This window comes from Homo sapiens, chromosome 9 (assembly GCF_000001405.40).
Source record: "Homo sapiens chromosome 9, GRCh38.p14 Primary Assembly".
Lineage (NCBI taxonomy): Eukaryota > Metazoa > Chordata > Mammalia > Primates > Hominidae > Homo > Homo sapiens.
The window spans coordinates 34,867,130-34,888,959 of record NC_000009.12 but is presented as its reverse complement, the minus strand read 5'-3'; the positions used below and the strand labels follow the sequence as shown (position 1 = coordinate 34,888,959).

Sequence of the window (21,830 nt, the reverse complement as noted above, 5' to 3'; positions counted from 1 at the left end):
TTTATTTCAGATGGGTCAGCATTCCACATGACTCCTCCCAGCCCCACCCTAGAATGTGGATAAAGGGACTTGACAGAGAAGAAAGGCCCTTGTTTTAGGTGCATTGAAAGAAAAGGTCAGGCTTGAATTCTATTGTCCCATGGTGTGTTGGGCTCAGAGGAGGAATGTGGACATGGCGACAGTATAAGAAGCAGTGGCCAGGAATCTAATGCATTTTTGGCCCACAGGCAAAATTCATTGATGACTTCTATACAGTATATGCTGACAACCTGGAGGGAAGGTCCTTTAGAGTGCCATGGTGCTCCTTCCTTTAGGAATGTTTATCAAAAGCACACAGCTAATATGACAGATGTCAAAACCAGATGATAGAATCTCCCTGTCTTTTCTCTGTTGTTACTGAGATCTTTAAGGGTAACCCAACTGAGAGCCCACTCTAGTCCTGTTGCCTGTTCCAACCTCCATTGCCTTTCATTTGCATGGAAAGAATGCTGCCTAGAATGAAGACTAGTTGATGAAGAGATCCCTAAAAGGGTCACAATAAAAACAACTTTGGGCTGAGTCTTGCATTCAACAATTCAAATATTCAAGTACTTGCTATGTGGCAGGCACTATGCCAGGCACTACAGAGATAACAGTGAACGATACACAGGCCTTGTCTGAAAAAGCTCATGAACTCTGGGATAGACAGTCATATAAAAAGTCATTAGAAGCAATAAGATGAAAGTACATAGGAGGGCACTTAATCTAGTTTTGGGGAATGTTCACGGAAAGTTTCCTAGAAGAGATGATATGTAAGTTGAGTTCTAAAGGATGAGCAGGCATTAGTTGGGAAGGAGGTAGGGAGTAGAGAGGCTTTCCCAGGCTGAGAGTACAACATGAACAGAGGCATGGCATCAAACAACAGCATGCCGTGTCAGAGAATAGTGACTCACTGGAGAAACCCCTGTATAATAATTAAAAAAAAAACACAGTAAAATGTTTAAGGGATCAGAATGAGGTTGCCAAGCTGGAGAATGAATGGCATTCTTTCACCCATTCTTCATTCCTTCAATAAATATTGAGCACCTATTATATGCCAGGCACTTTTATAGGCACTGGGAATACAGCAGTGAACATAAGAGGAAAAAAAAATCTGCTCTCTCAAGGAACTTACGTTGGGAGCATGCCTGGGAGGAAGAGAAAAGAAGTATAAATAAAAAACATAGTATATAGAAGGTGACCAGATATATGCAAAAAAATCAGGGTAATGGGATTAGAGAAGACTTCAAAAGGGATACAGTTTTAAATAAGGAGCTCAGGGAAGGTATCACTAGGAAATTAAAATGTCAGCAAGGACTTGAGGGTGATAAGCGAGTAAACCACGTGGGTAAACGAGGAAGAGCATTCCAGTCAGAAATTACAGCTAATGCAGATGCCTGGAGGTTGGAGGATGCCCAGCCTGTCAGAAGGAACAAGGAAGCCAGTGAACCTAAAGCAGAGTAATAAAGGAATAAAGGGAGAAAGTGGTAGAGGATGACTCCAGTGGTAAGGGGCCACATGGTATAAGGCCTGGTAGAAAGCCAGCAAGGAAGCTGGCTCTTACTTTGAGTAAATTGGGGAGCTATTAGGGGGTCTGCTTAGATCTGACTTATGTCTTAAAGGATCACTTAGGTCATAGTGCTAAAAATAAGAGCATTGGGGGTATAGATTTGAGTAGAAGCAGGGAGATTAGTTGTAAGGTTACTCCGGTAATTATAGCAGCAGAGGAGATTACAGGCATTTAGATGCTGGGTTCACTTTGAAGGTAGAGACAATAGGATTTACTGATAGATTGGATGTGGACAATTAGAGAAAAAAAAATGTCAAGGATGGCACCAAAGTTTTTGCCCTGAACAACTGGCAGGATGAAGTTGCCATTAATTGATGTGGGAAATACTGACATTGGAGTAGGTTTGGTGTTACTGGGTGATGATGGTGGGAGAAGGGGAGTCAGGAGTTCACATTTGTATTGTTTGAGATGTATATGTTGCTTAGATAACGTATGTTGCTTAGACAATTTGGGCATTTGAGCCTGGAGTTCAGGGAAGAGCCCAGACTCCAGGCAGATAGACAGCCAGAGATAGATAGATAGATAGATAGATAGATACATAGATACATAGATACATAGATAGATACATAGATAGAGTAGATAGACAGAGTAGACAGACAGACAGACAGACAGACAGATAGATAGATAGATAGATATAAAACCATGAGACTAGATATGACCACGAAGGGAGTGAGTGTAAATGAAAGAGATCTAAGGACTGGTCTCTGGGACTCTTTAATGTTAAAAGATTGAGAAGAAGAGGAAGAACCAGTAGGCAGAGGAGACTGAGACACAGCAGCCAGCAAGACAGGAGGAAAGCTAGAAGAGTGTCATACTGGAAGCCAAGAAAGGAAAGTGTTTTAAGGAGAAGGTGACCAATGGAATGACAAGTTGCCAATCAGTCAATTAAGATGCGGACTTGTAGTTGACCATTAGATTTAGCAATATAAAGATCACTAATGACCCTGAGAAGAATAGCCTCAGGTGGAGGAACCGATGTGACTGGAGTGGATTCAAGAGATAATGGAAGAAGAGCAGTTGGTGACAGCAAGTGTAATCAACTCTTTCAAGGACTTTTGTTTCATAGAGGTGAAGGAGGGGAGAGTGGGATCCAGAAGGAGTTTTTTTTTTTTTTTTAAGACAGGAGATTTAGTCTGTTGGATGGTTGGATGGTGATAGAAAAGATCCAGTCAAGAGGGATAAGCAAGACAGCAAGGGGAGAATTTCTGGAAGAACGCTGTGGTGTGGAAGTGAAGAAGTGGGGGGCAAGTACCCAAGTCAAGGAGCTGGATTTTACTAAAAGCAGACATTTTTCTGCTGGTAGGGAGAAGTAGAGTTAATGATGGAGGAGATAATGGATTAGAAGAAGAAAGAATTCCTCCACATATAAGGGAGTGTGGGCACAGACCCAGAGGGACGAGTGAGGAGCTAGGAAGGGACCATGGGTATGGGCAGGGGGAATGGTATGGAGAACCAAAGCCAGAGAGCTGGGTGTGGAGAGAGATTCTGAAAGTTACTATTAGGGCCCAAGCAGTTGGTGGCAGTGTGAGAGTGTAGGTGGGCAGGGAAAGGTGGTCAAAGCCTGCTGCTGATATCTGTGCAGCAGGTGCTCTTGGAACACTGTACCAGCAGGAGAGATCACAGAGAAAGCTCTAAATGCATGGAGCCTGAGCAAGAGCATGGGGCTGGAGATGGAGAAACAGGGCAGGGGTGGCTTCCTAGTGCTTAGTGAGGTAAAGGACCAGGGAGGCTATCTGGGTGGGAGAAGTGGACTGGGAAGCAGGAAGACAGAGGCTGCCTTGAGCAGATGGGAGGGACCTCTGCTTTGGCCACCTGATATTCCTCAGAGGGTGGCACCTTTGCATTCTGCTTCCAACCTACCGCAGAGGAGCCAAGAGCTGAAGAAAGGGCAAGAAGTGAAATGACTTCTTTATGACATGTTGTGAGAGACAGTTGGGATGCCCCTGGTTCCTAAGGAGATCCAGGATTATCCATCATCCCATCATCAGAAGGAGGAGGTGGCAGGACTTTCTTCCTCGGACAGGACCTCAGCGTTAAGCATAATGTGTCCTTCTGAAAAGATGCAGAAAGCCCAGATAGGAAGAAGCATGGATGTGTCTGTCCTCTGAATGATGGTTCTGTGCCTAAGGGATGGGGGCCCAGTCCCTAGATGGCCTCCAGGCCATGAAGTCACAAGGTCTAGGCCTACTGAGCCAACACTTAACAGGTATTTGCCTAAAGCATCCCCAAAGATCAAAGGAGGTTTTGTGTTAAGCACATCCTGCCTGCCTAGTGGGAGTTGGGCAGAAAGCCATGTAGGAGGAAGACACAGAGTGAAAGAAAGTGACTCAGAAGGGTCACAGCAGCATGAAGTGGGAATCCGGGGTTAATGTACACACATCTTGGTTTAGGGTGGGTGGAGCAGGTCCTTCCCCTGGTCCCCCACAGGCTCCTACATGCCCCAGCAGATTTTGATTATGGTAATTTCAGGCAACTGGCCACCATGATTGCTCGACTTTTGTACCTGCTCACCCCTAGCAGGGAAGTCATAGAATATGCTGAGTGCAGAAGTGAAAGTGGAAGCATCACCTTGTTTTGTTCAGTCCTGTCATGCCACCCTCTTGCCACCCTCCAGGGACTGGGAGTCCCTGAGCAGGAGCAGAAACTCCTTGCTCTGCTCAAAATTCCATCTTGTTGGAGATCCTCAGACACAAGGGCTCAGTTATCTCCACTCATCCACTCAAATTCTAGTCCCTCTCCTCTGTGGGGCTTGGGGTAAAAGTCTAGAAGGACTAGAAAACATCCTCTGCCCCTAAATTTCCACATGCTCTGAGTCTCATCCTCTTCCAGCAGCCTCATTATCCTTTAGTTAACCTTCCTATCATCACCCTATATTTGTCCTTGCCTGTCCAGGCTGAATCCCTGGAAAGACGTTAATAATGTATGAACACAGTAGTCCAAAAAGCTGTTATAAAAATACTCATACTGTGGTCTTATTTTTAAAAAATTATTCTTTTTTTAAATGCTTTAAGTTCTAGGGTACATGTGCACAATGTGCAGGTTTGTTACATATGTATATATGTGCCCTGTTGGTGTGCTGCACCCATTAACTCGTCATTTACATTAGGTATATTAGGTATATCTCCTAATGCTATCCCTCCCCACTCCCCCAACTCCATGACAGACCCTGGTGTGTGATGTTCCCCACCCTGTATCCAAGTGTTTTCATTGTTCAATTCCCATCTATGAGTGAGAACATGCGGTGCTTGGTTTTCTGTCCTCGTGATAGTTTTCTCGGAAGGATGGTTTCCAGCTTCATCCATGTCCAAACAAAGAACATGAACTCACCCTTTTTTATGACTGCATAGTATTCCATGGTGTATATGTGCCACATTTTCTTAATCCAGTCTATCACTGATGGACATTTGGGCTGGTTCCAAGTCTTTGCTATTGTGAATAGTGCTGCAATAAACATACGTGTGCATGTGTCTTTATAGCAGCATGATTTATAATCCTTTGGGTATATACCCAGTAATGGGATGGCTGGCTCAAATGGTATTTCTAGTTCTAGATCCTTGAGGAATCGCCACACTGTCTTCCACAATGGTTGAACTAGTTTACAGTCCCACCAACAGTGTAAAAGTGTTCCTATTTCTCCACATCCTCTCCAGCACCTGTTGTTTCCTGACTTTTTAATGATCACCATTGTAACTGGTGTGAGATGGTATCTCATTGTGGTATTGATTTGCATTTCTCTGATGGCCAGTGATGATGAGCATTTTTTCATGTGTCTGTTGGCTGCATAAATGTCTTCTTTTGAGAAGTGTCTGTTCATATCCTTCACCCACTTTTTGATGGGATTGTTTGATTTTTTCTTGTAAATTTGTTTGAGTTCATTGTAGATTCTGGATATTAGCCCTTTGTCAGATGGGTAGACTGTAAAAATTTTCTCCCATTTTGTAGGTTGCCTGTTCACTCTGATGGTAGTTTCTTTTGCTGTGCAGAAGCTCTTTAGTTTAATTAGATCCCATTTGTCAATTTTGGCTTTTGTTGCTATTGCTTTTGGTGTTTTAGTCATGAAGTCCTTGCCCATGCCTATGTCCTGAATGGTATTGCCTCGGTTTTCTTCTAGGGTTTTTATGGTTTTAGGTCTAACATGTAAGTCTTTAATCCATCTTGAATTAATTTTTGTATAAGGTGTAAGGAAGGGATCCAGTTTCAGCTTTCTACATATGGCTAGCCAGTTTTCCCAGCACCATCTATTAAATAGGGAATCCTTTCCCCATTGCTTGTTTTTCTCAGGTTTGTCAAAGATCAGATAGTTGTAGATATGCGGCATTATTTCTGAGGGCTCTGTTCTGTTCCATTGATCTATATCTCTGTTTTGGTACCAGTATCATGCTGTTTTGGTTACTGTAGCCTTGTAGTATAGTTTGAAGTCAGGTAGCGTGATGCCTCCAGCTTTGTTCTTTTGGCTTAGGATTGTCTTGGCAATGTGGGCCCTTCTTTGCTTCCACACGAACTTTAAAGTAGTTTTTTCCAGTTCTGTGAAGAAAGTCATTGGTAGCTTGATGGGGATGGCATTGAATCTATAAATTACCTTGGGCAGTATGGCCATTTTCATGATACTGATTCTTCCTATCCATGAGCATGGAATGTTCTTCCATTTGTTTGTGTCCTCTTTTATTTCGTTGAGCAGTAGTTTGTAGTTCTCCTTGAAGAGGTCCTTCACATCTCTTATAAGTTAGATTCCTAGGTATTTTATTCTGTTTGAAGCAATTGTGAACAGGAGTTCACTCATGATTTGGCTCTCTGTTTGTCTGTTACTGGTGTACAGGAATACTTGTGATTTTTGCGTATTGATTTTGTATTCTGAGACTTTGCTGAAGTTGCTTATCAGCTTAAGGAGATTTTGGGCTGAGATGATGAGGTTTTCTAAATATACAATCATGTCATCTGCAAACAGGGACAACTGGACTTCCTCTTTTCCTAATTGAAAACCCTTTATTTCTTTCTCCTGCCTGATTGCCCTGGCCAGAACTTCCAACACTATGTTGAATAGGAGTGGTGAGAGAGGGCATCCTTGTCTTGTGCCAGTTTTCAAAGGGAATGCTTCCAGTTTTTGCCCATTCAGTACGATATTGGCTGTGGGTTTGTCATAAATAGCTCTTATTATTTTGAGATACGTCCCATCAATACCTAATTTATTGAGAGTTTTTAGCATGAATGGCTGTTAGATTTTGTCAAAGGCCTTTTCTGCATCTATTGAGATAATCATGTGGTTTTTGTCTTTGGTTCTGTTTATATGATGGATTACGTTTATTGATTTGCATATGTTGCAACAGCCTTGCATCCCAGGGATGAAACCAACTTGATTGTGGTGGATAAGCTTTTTGATGTGCTGCTGGATTTGGTTTGCCAGTATTTTATTGAGGATTTTTGCATCAATATTCATCAGGGATATTGGTCTAAAATTCTCTGTTTTTGTTGTGTCGCTGTCAGGCTTTGGTATCAGGATGATGCTGGCCTCATCAAATGAATTAGGGAGGATTCCCTCTTTTTCTATTGATTGGAATAGTTTCAGAAGGAATGGTACCAGCTCCTCTTTGTACCTCTGGTAGAATTTGGCTGTGAATCCATCTGGTCCTGGACTTTTTTTTGGTTGGTAGGCTATTAATTATTGCCTCAATTTCAGAGCCTGTTATTGGTCTATTCAGAGATTCAACTTCTTCCTGGTTTAGTCTTGGGAGGGTGTATGTGTCCAGAAATTTATCCATTTCTTCTAGATTTTCTAGTTTATTTGTGTAGAGGTGTTTATAGTATTCTCTGATGATAGTTTGTATTTCTGTGGGATCGGTGGTGATATCCCCTTTATCATTTTTTATTGCGTCTATTTGATTCTTCTCTCTTTTCTTCTTTATTAGTCTTGCTAGCAGTATATCAATTTTGTTGATCTTTTCAAAAAACCAGCTCCTGGATTCATTGATTTTTTTGAAGGGTTTTTTGTGTCTCTATCTCCTTCAGTTCTGCTCTGATCTTAGTTATTTCTTGCCTTCTGCTAGCTTTTGAATGTGTTTGCTCTTGCTTCTCTAGTTCTTTTAATTGTGATGTTAGGGTGTCAGTTTTAGATCTTTCTTGCTTTCTCTTGTGGGCATTTAGTGCTATAAATTTCCTTCTAAACATTGCTTTAAATGTGTCCCAGAGATTCTGGTATGTTGGGTCTTTGTTCTCATTGGTTTCAAAGAACATCTTTATTTCTGCCTTCATTTCATTATGTACCCAGTAGTCATTCAGGAGCAGGTTGTTCAGTTTCCATGTAGCTGAGTGGTTTTGAGCGAGTTTCTTAATCCTAAGTTCTACTTTGATTGCACTGTGGTCTGAGAGACAATTTGTTATAATTTCTGTTTTTTTACATTTGCTGAGGAGTGTGCTTTACTTCCAACTATGTGGTCAACTTTGGAATAAGTGCAATGTGGTGCTGAGAATAATGTACATTCTGTTGATTTGGGGTGGAGAGTTCTGTAGATATCTATTAGGTCTGCTTGGTGCAGAGCTGAGTTCAATTCCTGGACATCCTTGTTAATGTTCTGTCTCGTTGATCTGTCTAATGTTGACAGTGGGGTGTTAAAGCCTCCCATTATTATTGTGTGGGAGTCTAAGTCTCTTTGTAGGTCTCTAAGGACTTGCTTTATGAATCTGGGTGCTCCTGTATTGGGTGTATATATATTTACAATAGTTAGCTCTTCTTGTTGAACTGATCTCTTTACCATTATGTAATGGCCTTCTTTGTCTCTTTTGATCTTTGTTGGTTTAAAGTCTGTTTTATAAGAGACTAGGACTGCAACCCCTGCTTTTTTTTGTTTTCCACTTGCTTGGTAGATCTTCCTTCATCCCTTTATTTTGAGCCTATGTGTGTCTCTGCACATGAGATGGGTTTCCTGAATACAGCACACTGATGGGTCTTGATTCTTTATCCAATTTGCCAGTCTGTGTCTTTTAATTGGAGCATTTAGCCCATTTACATTTACATTTAAGGTTAATATTGTTATGTGTAAATTTGATCCTGTCATTATGATGTTAGCTGGTTATTTTGCTCGTTAGTTGATGCAGTTTCTTCCTAGCATCGATGGTCTTTACAATTTGGCACGTTTTTGCAGTGGCTGGTACCGGTTGTTCCTTTCCATGTTTAGTGCTTCCTTCAGGAGCTCTTGTAAGGCAGGCCTGGTGGTGACAAAATCTCTCAGTATTTGCTTGTCTGTAAAGGATTTTATTTCTCCTTCACTTATGAAGCTTAGTTTGGCTGGATATGAAATTCTGGGTTGAAAATTCTTTTCTTTAAGAATGTTGAATATTGGCCCCCACTCTCTTCTGGCTTGTAGAGTTTCTGCTGAGATATCTGCTGTTAGTCTGATGGGCTTCCCTTTGTGGGTAACCTGACCTTTCTCTCTGGCTACCCTTAATATTTTTTCCTTCATTTCAACTTTGGTGAATCTGATAATTATGTGTCTTGGAGTTGCTCTTCTCGAGGAGTATCTTTGTGGCGTTCTCTGTATTTCCTGAATGTGAATGTTGGCCTGCCTTGCTAGATTGGGGAAGTTCTCCTGGATAATATCCTGAAGAGTGTTTTCCAACTTGGTTCCATTCTCCCCGTCTCTTTCAGGTACACCAGTCAGACATAGATTTGGTCTTTTCACATAGTCCCATATTTCTTGGAGGTTTTGTTTCTTTTTACTCTTTTTTCTCTAAACTTCTCTTCTCGCTTCATTTCATTCATTTGATCTTCAATCACTGATACCTTTTCTTCCACTTGATCGAATCAGCTACTGAAGCTTGTGCACACGTCACGTAGTTCCTGTGCCATGGTTTTCAGCTCCATCAGGTCATTTAAGGTCTATACTGTTTAGTTAGCCATTCGTCTAATCTTTTTTCAAGGTTTTTAGCTTCTTTGTGATGGGTTCGAATATCTTCCTTTAGCTTGGAGAAGTTTGTTATTACCTATCATCTGAAGCCTTCTTCTCTCAACTCATCAAAGTCATTCTCTGTCCAGCTTTGTTCTGTTGCTGGTGAGGAGCTGCATTCCTTTGGAGGAGAAGGGGTGCTCTGATTTTTAGAATTTCAGCTTTTCTGCTCTGGTTTCTCCCCATCTTTGTGGTTTTATCTTCTTTTGGTCTTTGATGATGGTGACCTACAGATGGGGTTTTGGTGTGGATGTTCTTTCTGTTTGTTAGTTTTCCTTCTAACAGTCAGGACTCTCAGCTGCAGGTCTGTTGGAGTTTGCTGGAGGTCCACTCCAGACCCTGTTTGCCTGGGTATCACCAGCGGAGGCTGCAGAACAGCAAATATTGCAGAATGGCAACTGTTGCCACCTGATCCTTCCTCTGGAAGCTTCATCTCAAAGGGCACCTGGCTGTATGAGGTGTCAGTCGGCCCCTACTGGGAGGTGTCTCCCAGTTAGGCTACTGGGGGGACCCACTTGAGGAGGCAGTCTGTCTGTTTTCAGATCTCAAGCTCTGTGCTGGAAGAACGACTACTCTCTTCAAAGCTGTCAGACAGGGATGTTTAAGTCTGCAGAAGTTTCTGCTCCTTTTATTCTGCTATGCCCTGCCCCCAGACGTGAAGTCTACAGAGGCAGGCAGGCCTCCTTGAGCTGTGGTGGGCTCCACCCATTTCGAGCTTTCTAGCCGCTTTGTTTACCTACTCAAGCCTCAGCAATGGCGGACGCCCCTCCCCCAGCCTTGCTGCTGCCTTGCAGTTCAATCTCAGACTGCTGTTCTAGCAGTGAGTGAGGCTCCATGGGCGTGGGACCCTCTGAGCCAGGTGTGGGATATAGTCTTCTGGTGTGCCGTTTGCGAAGACCATTGGAAAAGCACAGTATTAGGGTGAGAGTGTCCCGATTTTCCAGCTACTGTCTGTCACGGCTTCCCTTGGCTAGGAAAGGGAATTCCCCCACCCCTTGCGCTTCCCAGGTGAGGCAATGCCCCGCCCTGCTTCAACTCACACTCCATGGGCTGCACCCACTGTCCGACAAGCCCTAGTGAGATGAACCCGGTACCTCAGTTGGAAATGCAGAAATCACCTGTCTTCTGTGTCACTCACGCTGGGAGCTGTAGACTGGAGGTGTTCCTATTTGGCCATCTTGGAACCAGAACCTTAAAAAATTTATTCTTTAGAGCAGTTTTAGGTCTGCAGAAAAATTGAGTGGAGTATGGAGAGTTCCTATATATTCCCCTCCTGCCACTGGCCCACATACACACTTTCCCTTATTATTAACATATTGCATTACTGTAATACATTTGTTACAATTGAGGAGCCAATATTGATACATTATTATTAACTAAAGCCTGTCATTTACATTGGGGTTCACTTTTTGTGTTATACATGCTGTGGGTTCTGACCAATGTATAATGACATGTATCAACCATTACAGTATCATACTGAATAATTTCACTGGCCTAAAAACCCCCTGTGCTCCAGGGAGGGGAACAGCACACATCACGGTCTGTCAGGGAGGGGGAGATAGGGGAGGGATAGCATTAAGAGAAATACCTAATGTAGGTGATGGGTTGATGGGTGCAGCAAACCACTGTAGCACCTGTATACCTATGTAACAAAACTGCACATTCTGCACATGTACCCCAGAACTTAAAGTATATAAAAAAAAATCCCCTGTGTTCTACCTATTCAGTCCCTCTCTCCCTTCCCCCAAATCCCTGGTAATCACTGAGCATTAAAAAAAATTATGGTAAAAATATATATAACACAAAGCATACCATTTTAGCCATTTTTAAGTGTAGAATTTGTTGGCATTAAATACATTCACAATGTTGTGTGACCACCACCACTATCTATTTCAAACGCTTTTTCATCATACCAAACAGAAACTCTGTACCTACTAAACAATAACTCCCTCATCCCTCCCCAAAACCCTGAGACCCTGGTAACCTCAATTCCACTTTCTGTCTCTGAGAATTTGCCTATTCTAAGTATCTCATATAAGTGAAATCATACAATATTTGTCCTTTTGTGTCTGGCTTATTTCACTTAGTGTAATGTTTTCAAGGTTTATCCATGTTGAACGTGTCAGAATTTCTTTTTCTTTTTTTTTTTTTTTTGAGACAGAGTCTGGCTCTGTTGCTCAGGCTGGAGTGCAGTGGTGTGATCTTGGCTCACTGCAACCGCTGCCTCCTGGGTTCAAGAGATTCTCCTGCCTCAGCCTCCCGAGTAGCTGGGATTATAGGCGTGTGCCACCACACCCAGCCAATTTTTGTATTTTCAGTAGAGACAGGGTTTCGTCATGTTGCCAGGCTGGTCACGAACGCCTGACCTCAGGTGATCTGCCCACCTTGGCCTCCCAAAGTGCTGGGATTACAGATGTGAGCCACCATGCCTGGCCACATGTCAGAATTTTGTTCCTTTTTATGGCAAATAATATTCCATTGTATGTATATACCACATTTTGTTTATCCATTTCATCTTTGTTTCCACCTTTTGACTATTGTGAATAATGCTACTATGAACATCGGTGTGGAAGTATCTGAGTCCCTGCTTTGTTTTCCTTTGGGTATATACCCAGGAGTAAAATTGCTGAATCATTATGGTAATTAATAGAGGAATTGCCAAACTGGTTTCTTCAAATGGCTGTACCATTTTACATTCCCACCAGCAATGCACCAGGGTTTCAATTTCTTTTCATCCTACAGAACACTTTCTTTCTTTCTTTCTTTTTTTTAATAATAGTCATTCTAAGTGGTATGGTGTATAATTGTGGTGTTGATTTGCATTTCTCTAATGAGTAATGATGTTGAGCATCTTTTCATGTGCTTATTGCCATCTGTGTATCTTCTTTGGAGACTGTCTGTCTATTTGAACACATTGCCCATTTTTGAATTGGGCCTTTTGAGATTTTTGTTGTTGACTATGGATCTTTTTACTGTCTCCATAGTTTTGCCCTCTCCAGAATGTCATATAGTTGGAACCATACAGTATGTAGCCTTTTCAGATTGACTTCTTCACTTAGTAATATGTACTTAAGGTTCTTCCATGTCTTTTCATGGTGTGACACCTCATTTCTTTTTAATGCTGAGTCATATTCCATTGCATGGATATACCACAGTTTATCTGTTCATCTACTGAAGGACATCTCGGTTGCTTCCAAGTTTTGGCAATCATGAATAAAGCTGCGATAAACATCCATGTGCAGGTTTTTGTGTGGATATAGGTTTTCAATTTTTGGGGTAAATACAAAGGAGCTTTAATTGCTAGGTCATATGGTAAGTGTATTGGATCCGAGAGTCACAGAGATCCCTTTCTGTCATAAACATCTGGAATGCTCATGCTTTCTTTCAAATTCTTTTTAAAAGTCCATGGACCTAACTGGAATATCCAGCTAGGGACTTGGAAGGAGTGAGAGAGAGAGAGAGAGAGAGAGAGAGAGAGAGAGAGTGTGTGTGTGTGTGTGTGTGTGTGTGTGTGTGTGTGTGTGTGTAAGAGAGAGAGACGAGCTTTTGCTTAGGCTATTGACCTAGGAGGTTCTTGAAATGAGAGGCTGGGTCGATAGGCCCCAGACACTGCCCACATGCCTCATGAGCACCAGATGTGCTCTATGATTAGGTGAGGAAGCATGTCCCCACCTGAGAGGAACCGACACACCTGGTGGAAGAATGTAAAACTGAACACAATCCTTCACTGCATACATTCCACATGACCAATTAAATTGTCAAGGCTCCAGTGCTTTCCTCAGAAATCTTTCACGGTATGTTTTTCCATTTTTTTCACTGTGACTATGTAGTGACTGTGACCCATAGTAAGAAATATAATTTATGAAATGATCCTGCCGTATATTTTTATAAATGTTTATAGATCTGTAACTGAATTCAAAGTTTTGTGAAACAATCCTACTTTTATTATATGTGATGCTCTCTAATATTTTCTATCATATTTCAATAAAAAAAATCTCTAAAGGTGACTCTCTAAAATGATTTTGTGACAATAATAGGCCTGGACCTGCAGTTTGAAAAATACAGCCTTAGGATCATTTTACATTTTTTATTAAAGAAATACACTTTTGTCATTTTGTTTAAAGTTGGTTACCTCTAAAAGACAAGAAGAATATTGTGGAGTATAGGTAAGCTTTGTCCTTGACTGCAGTGATGCAAGAACAGAATTCTCAAGCTTAAGAGTGTGTGATAGTATATTCTCACTTTTTTGTGGAATCTAAAAATCAAATAAATTGAACTCACAGATATAGAGTAGGATGGTTACCAGAGGCTGGGAAGGATGTGGGGTTTGAGAGGAAGGTGAAAATGGTTCATGGGTTCAAAAAGATAGAATTAATTAATAAGACCTACTATTTGATAGCACAATAAGGTGACTATAATCAGTAATAATTGTATATTTTAAAATAACTTGAAAAATGTGTTAATAATTAGATTAGATTGTTTGTAACCCAAAGGATAAATGCTTGAGGGGACAGATGCCCCATTCTCCATGACGTGCCTATTTCATATTGCATGCCTGTATGAAAACATCTCAAGTACCCCTTAAATATATACACTTACTATGTACCCACAAAAATTTTAAAAAATAATAATAAAAATTTAAGAAGAGTCTGTGTGATTGAAAGGTCTAGTGAAAACGGACACTACTAACTTACCTTTGACTGGATAAAACCCTGTGCTATGTGAGAGGCTGATCCTTTCTGACCTGCAGGCATATCTAAATGAATGTTTGTTGGAGCATTGTTTATGGTGATTAAGAGGCAGAAACAACTTATTTAGTAATTCCCCCTATTAGGGGAATTACTAAATAACTTGTGATATACTCATGCTATAACAAAGAGAAAAAAACAGAGTCAATCCAACAGGAACAAAATGTCTGGAGCAACAAATCTCAAATGGTGAATTGGTTAGATCCTGGGCAGGCAGTGGGGTACATATAAGAAACTCCAGAAAGAGGTGAGAAACGAGTGGATTGAAAAAGCATATCCCTTGTTATTTTGAGATACGTCCCATTAATACCTAATTTATTGAGAGTTTTTAGCATGAAAGGTTGTTGAATTTTGTCAAAGGCCTTTTCTGCATACTGAATGGGCAAAAACTGGAAGGATTCCCTTTGAAAACCGGCACAAGACAGGGATGCCCTCTCTCACCATTCCTATTCAACATAATGTTGGAAGTGCTGGCCAGGGCAATTAGGCAGGAGAAGGAAATAAAGGGTATTCAATTAGGAAAAGAGGAAGTCCAATTGTCCCTGTTTGCAGATGACATGATTGTATATCTAGAAAACCCCATTGTCTCAGCCCAAAATCTCCTTAAGCTGATAAGCAACTTCAGCAAAGTCTCAGGATACAAAATCAATGTGCAAAAATCACAAGCATTCTTATACACCAGTAACAGACAAACAGCCAAATCATGAGTGAACTTCCATTCACAATTGCTTCAAAGAGAATAAAATACCTAGGAATCCAACCAGATGTGAAGGACCTCTTCAAGGAGAACTACAAACCACTGCTCAATGAAATAAAAGAGGATACAAACAAATGGAAGAACATTCCATGCTCATGGGTAGGAAGAATCAATATCATGAAAATGGCCATACTGCCCAAGGTAATTTATAGATTCAATGCCATCCCCATCAAGCTACCAATGACTTTCTTCACAGAATTGGAAAAAACTACTTTAAAGTTCATATGGAACCAAAAAAGAGCCCACACCACCAAGTCAATCCTAAGCCAAAAGAACAAAGCTGGAGGCATCACGCTACCTGACTTCAAACTATACTACAAGGCTACAGTAACCAAAACAGCATGGTACTGTTACCAAAACAGAGATATAGATCAATGGAACAGAACAGAGCCCTCAGAAATAATGCCGCATATCTACAACCATCTGATCTTTGACAAACCTGACAAAAACAAGAAATGGGGAAAGGATTCCCTATTTAATAGATGGTGCTGGGAAAACTGGCTAGCCATATGTAGAAAGCTGAAACTGGATCTCTTCCTTACACCTTATACAAAAATTAATTCAAGATGGATTAAAGACTTACATGTTAGACCTAAAACCATAAAAACCCTAGAAGAAAACCTAGGCAATACCATTCAGGACATAGGCATGGGCAAGGACTTCATGTCTAAAACACCAAAAGCAAAGGCAACAAAAGCCAAAATTGACAAATGGGATCTAATTAAACTAAAGAGCTTCTGCACAGCAAAAGAAACTACCATCAGAGTGAACAGGCAACCTACAGAATGGGAGAAAATTTTCACAACCTACTCATCTGACAAAGGGCTAATATCCAGAATCTACAATGAACTCAAACAAATTTACAAGAAAAAAACAAACAACCCCATCAAAAAGTGGGCAAAGGACATGAACAGACACTTCTCAAAAGAAGACATTTATGCAGCCAAAAAACACATGAAAAAATGCTCATCACTGGCCATCAGAGAAATGCAAATCAAAACCACAATGAGATACCATCTCACACCAGTTAGAATGGCAATCATTAAAAAGTCAGGAAACAACAGGTGCTGGAGAGGATGTGGAGAAATAGGAACACTTTTACACTGTTGGTGGGACTGTAAACTAGTTCAACCATTGTGGAAGTCAGTGTGGCGATTCCTCAGGGATCTAGAACTGGAAATACCATTTGAGCCAGCCATCCCATTACTGGGTATATACCCAAAGGATTATACATCATGCTGCTATAAAGACACATGCACACGTATGTTTATTGCGGCATTATTCACGATAGCAAAGACTTGGAACCAACCCAAATGTCCAACAATGATAGACTGGATTAAGAAAATGTGGCACATATACACCATGGAATACTATGCAGCCATAAAAAATGATGAGTTCATGTCCTTTGTAGGGACATGGGTGAAATTGGGAATCATCATTCTCAGTAAACTATCGCAAGAACAAAAAACCAGACACCGCATATTCTCACTCATAGGTGGGAACTGAACAATGAGATCACATGGACACAGGAAGGGGAATATCACACTCTGGGGACTGTTGTGGGGTGGGGGGAGGGGGGAGGGATAGCATTGGGAGATATACCTAATGCTAGATGAAGAGTTAGTGGGTGCAGCGCACCAGCATGGCACATGTATACATATGTAACTAACCTGCACAATGTGCACATGTACCCTAAAACTTAAAGTATAATAATAAAAAAATAAAAAATAAAAAAATAATAAAAATAAAAATAAATTGCTGTTTACATTGGCACTCAAAAGGAAAAAAGAAATACATAGGTATAAACCTAACAAACTATGTACCAGATCTTTATGAGGAAAACAAATAAATATATACATATGCAAAACCCTGATGAAAGATATCAAGGAAGAACTAAATAAATGGAAAGATATTCAACATTCATGAATAGGAAGACAATATTGTCAAGATCTCAGTTCTTCACAACTTGATCTACAGCTTTGATGCAATCCCAATAAAAATTCCAGCAGCTATTTTATGGATAATGACAAATTGCTTCTAAAGTTTAGATGGAGAGGTAAAAGACTATCTCAACATGGAAGGAGAAGACCAAGGTTGGAGGACTGATACTACTCAACTTCAAGACTTATTATAAAGCCACAGTAATCAAGACGGTGTGGTAGTGGTGAAGAACACATAAATCAATGGAACAGAATAGAGAGCCCAGAAACAGATCCACAGAAATATAACTGATCTTTGACAAAGGAGAAAATGGTGCTGGAACAACTGAACATCAATATGCAAAAATGAACCTAGACACAGACCTTACATCCTTTACAAAACTTAATTCAAAATGGATCATAGACCTAAACATAAAACAGAAACCTAAAAAACCCCAAAAGATAACATAGGAGAAAACCTAATGGACCTTGGGTATGATGATGACTTTTTAGGTATAACATCAAAGTCATGATCTGTGAAAGAAATAATTGATAAGCTGGACGTCATTAAAATGAAAAAAGTCTTCTCTCTGAAAGACAATGTCAAAAGAATGAGAAGACACACCACATACTGGAAGAAAATATTTGCAAAATACACATCTGGTAAAGGACTGCTATCCAAAGTATACAAAGCACTCTTAAAACTCGACAATAATAAAATAAGAACTGAATTTAAAAATGGGCAAAAGACTTGGACTCCTCACCAAAGAAGGTATACAGATGGCAAGTAAACATGTGAAAAGATGTTCCACACCATATGTCCTTAGGGAACTGCAAATTAAAACAACAAGACAAGATTACATAGCTATTAAAATGGCCAAAATCCAAAACATTGACAATAGCAAATGCTGGCAAGGATGTGGAAGCAACAGGCACTCTCGTTCATTGCTGGTAGGAAAATAGCACAAACACTTTGGAAAACAGGCTGGTAATTTCTTATAAACCTAAATATATTCTTGCCATATGATCCAGCAAGTGAGCTTCTTTGTATTTATCCAAATGAATTGAAAACTTATAGCCACACAAAAACCACATGGATGTTTATAACAGCTTTACTCATGATTTCCAAAACTTGGAAGCAACCAAGATGTCTTTCTATAGATGAATAAACTTTAGTATGTCCATACAATGCAATATTGCTCAGCATTAAAAAGAAACGAGGTATGAAGCCATGAAAAGACACGGAAGGTGGTCTTTGGGTTGATTCCATGTCTTTGCCATTGTGAATAGTGGTGTGCACCTGTGGTCCCAGTTACTTGGGAGGCTGAGCTGAGAGGATTGCTTGAGTCCAGGAGGTCAAGCCTGCAGTGAGACATGATTGTACCACTGCACTTTAGCCTGGGTGGATGAGACCCTGTCTCAAAAAAAAAGACATGGAAGAACCTTAAATACATACTGCTAAGTGAACGAAATCAATCTGAAAAGGCTACATACTGTATAATACCAATTATATGACATTCTGGAAAAGGGTAAAACTATGGAGACAGTAAAAGGGTAAGTAGTTGCCAAAGGTTACGGGGAGGGATGAATGAATAGGTAGAGCACAGAGAATTTTTTTTTCTGGGCAGTGAAACTATTCTACATGATACTAACAAGGGTCGATTCACACTTATCAAAATATATATATTTATACATTTATGCAGTATTACTATCCATTATATACTTATCAAAATCCATAGAATGCACACTTCCCCAAGAGTGAACTCTAATGTAAATGATGGACTTTGGGTGATAATGATGTGTCAATGTAGGTTCATCAGTGGAAACAAGTTTAGGACTGTAGTGCAGGATGTTGATAGTGGGGAAGGTTTTGCTGGGGTGGGGGCATATGCAAGCTTTTTGTACTTTCCACTTAATTTTACTGTGAACCTAAAACTGCTCTAAAAAATAAAGCTTATTAATTTAAAAAAACAACAAAAACAAATACCTGATGAGAAAGACTGGCCTCCATTGTGCTGGAGGAAGTTCTAAGAAAAAGAAATTGTAAAGAAATGAAATGACAAAGGTGCCACAAATTATGCCTAATGATTACTTTTTTGGTTGAAAACTGGGAATTTCTGCCTTCCTAACAAGGATGAAAAGTCAGATAATTTGTGGTGAGGACTCAAAAAGAACCTCAAAAAGTGGGATAAGAAGGTAGATTAGGGTCATCTGGCTATATAAACTAAAGAAAATGAAGGCAGATTATAGCCTGAATCTTTCCTTGGTACTATTGCAGCCAAAAACAAAACAAACAAAAAAACCTCTCTAGATGTATCTGTAAGGTAGTAAGATATATGCAGGCAGTGTGTATGTGTGTGTGTGTGTATACAAAACACACACATTTCTCTGCAGAGAACTTGCTTATTTGTAAGGGTAAAGTGGGAGGCAGGGGGAGCTGTTCTGCAGCAGGAGAAGGAGAAGACATTCATATGGCCAAGAAACATGAAAAAAAGCTCAACATCACTCATCACTAGAGAAACACAAATAAAAACTACAAGGAGATAACATCTCACGTCAGTCAGAATCACGATTATTAAAAAGTCAAGAAACAACAGATGCTGGCCAGGTTGTGGAGAAAAAGGAATGCTTTTACACTGTTGATGGGAGTGTAAATTAGTTCAACCATTATAGAAGACAGTGTGGTGACTCCTCAAAGATCTAGAAGCAGAAATACCATCTGATCCAGCAATCCCATTACTGGGTACATACCCAAAGGAATATAAATCATTCTATTATAAAGATACATGCATGCATATATTCATTGCAGCACTATTCAGAATACCAAAGACATGGAATCAACCCAAATGCCCATCAATGGTAGACTGGATAAAGAAAATTGTGCACATACATACCATGGAATACTATGCAACCATAAAAAGGAATGAGATTATGTCCTTGGCAGGGACATGGATGGAGCTGGAAGCCGTTATCCTCAGCAAACGAACGCAGGAACAGAAAACCAAACACTGCATGTTCTCACTTATAAGTGGGAGCTGAACGATAACACATGGACACATGGTGGGGAACAACACACACTGGGGCCTGTCATGCAGGGCTGGGAGAGGAAGAGCATCAGGAAGAATAGCTAATGGATGCTGGGCTTAATGACTAGGTGATGGGTTGATCTATACAGCAAACCACCATGGCACACATTTACCTATGTAACGAACCTGCACATGTACTCCAGAACTTAAAGTTGAAGGAAAAAAAAAGAGAAGGAAAAGAAGAAATAAGAAAGCATTTAGGGAACCTCCCTCCTTTACCTCTCTCTATAAGGATAAGTAGCTGTGAAAGTCTGATGAGCAGCCTCCTAATCAGTTGCAACCAGAGCTCTCTCATACTGCTATGTTAAATGCAAATATAAAAGATGAGCCTTTGCTTTCATTTGATTCTTGATATGGGGGTGACAACTTTTTGGAAGACTCAAAAGAATGACAGTGATTTCCTGTTAAAAGTGACAGAGCTTCATTAGGCAAAAACAAATAAAAGAAATCTCTGAAAGGGAGAATGGGTGGAAGCAACCACAGGGTGTTCAATAGGAAGAAAATGAAGCCCCAGTTTTTCATAGAGAACAGGACAGAGGAAAACGAATCGAGATAGTTCTCACTGCCTTCCACAGAGCATGTGTTCTATATACTTTGTTGAATGAATGTTACAAAGATGACTGGACAACATAAAATGTTTGAGATAATGGTGTCATGATTCTTTCTTTTTCTCAAATTGGGCCAGAAAGACTGATCAGACCAAATCTTCAAACTGAATTCCAGGAACTACAAAGTCTTCAGCTCATCACACCCACTCTGCTTCCCCAGAAGTAGAGCCTGAACTGTGAGTCAGGGCTAGCAAGGATGAGAACAGGTAACCCATATGCTAAGTATGGGTGATTTTTCTGATCACAGAGGAGAGCTACAAAATTTTGGAATTTAGCCAGTTTCCGCAACCACAATGATTAGAAAAGAGAGACCATCACTACCAAAATCAACAGTCCCCTGCATTTATGTTGTGTCCTTTAGACTTGTGGCGGGGCACAAGTAGGAAGCTTTGAAAATGCATATCCTCTGTCTTGGGTCTAAGCTGGAGAAATTTAGCAACAGTATCTACACTTACAGGTGAAAATTTTCAGAGTGGTTGACAATTGGTTCCTGAAAACATATGCCTGAAGAATTGTTTGAGAGCCTTATGAAAAGCCACATACCTAACATAGAAGTTGACCAGCCTCAAGGGTATGGAAAACCAACAGAACTAGGGTCTATAAAAAGTACAGAATGCATGGCACAAATCCTGAGCTCACTGTTCACATCAGCATCAACCCTGAGACTTTTAACAAAAACCATCAAAAGGAGTCCCTATCCTCTGCGGTCTTTAAGGGAATCCAAGCCCCAAGGGGTCTGATTGTTCTCCAGTGACTGGCTGTTCCTTAGGAAATCCAGTGCCTTACTACAGTGCTCTTGAAGCCTGTTCCTACTCAGCCATTCTGTCACTTGGCAGTAGCCTACAGGCTATTTTTAGTTTTCATGTTTGTAGACCCTGAAGGGGTCTACCTGGTACCTCCCCACCTCTCTCCATTACCTCTGTTTGTCCAAGAAAACAGTCACCTCAACTGCACAGGCTACACTCAGCAAATGTTTATAAAAGAAGCAAACAAGTGGATGGTGATTTACATGGGGTGTAATAATTGCATTAAATGGGAACTGAATCTGTTCATCAGGGACCTAGTGCAGAGAACAGGGAGTGCCTCTCCATTTTGCTGAAAAACTTTGCTTCCTAAGTGCAATCCCACTAGCCAATCACTGATGGTGTGATGTTCTTTAACTGTTGCTCTGCTTCTGTGGGAAGTCA

General features: G+C 40.6%; 1 protein-coding gene across 6 annotated transcripts in view, besides 1 other annotated feature; it reads right to left on the bottom strand.

The window, feature by feature from the left end:
* Positions 1-21,830, bottom strand: part of PHF24 (PHD finger protein 24) — a 316,938-nt gene that overhangs the window by 93,585 nt on the left and 201,523 nt on the right. The window lies entirely within an intron of this gene.
* Positions 17,983-18,484: an enhancer, noted in NCBI's record as "NANOG hESC enhancer chr9:34870473-34870974 (GRCh37/hg19 assembly coordinates)". NCBI's record gives its function as "activates a minimal SCP1, AML or CMV promoter by ChIP-STARR-seq in naive H9 embryonic stem cells {active_cell/tissue: H9 hESC(naive)}" and the evidence as "EXISTENCE:reporter gene assay evidence [ECO:0000049][PMID:30033119]".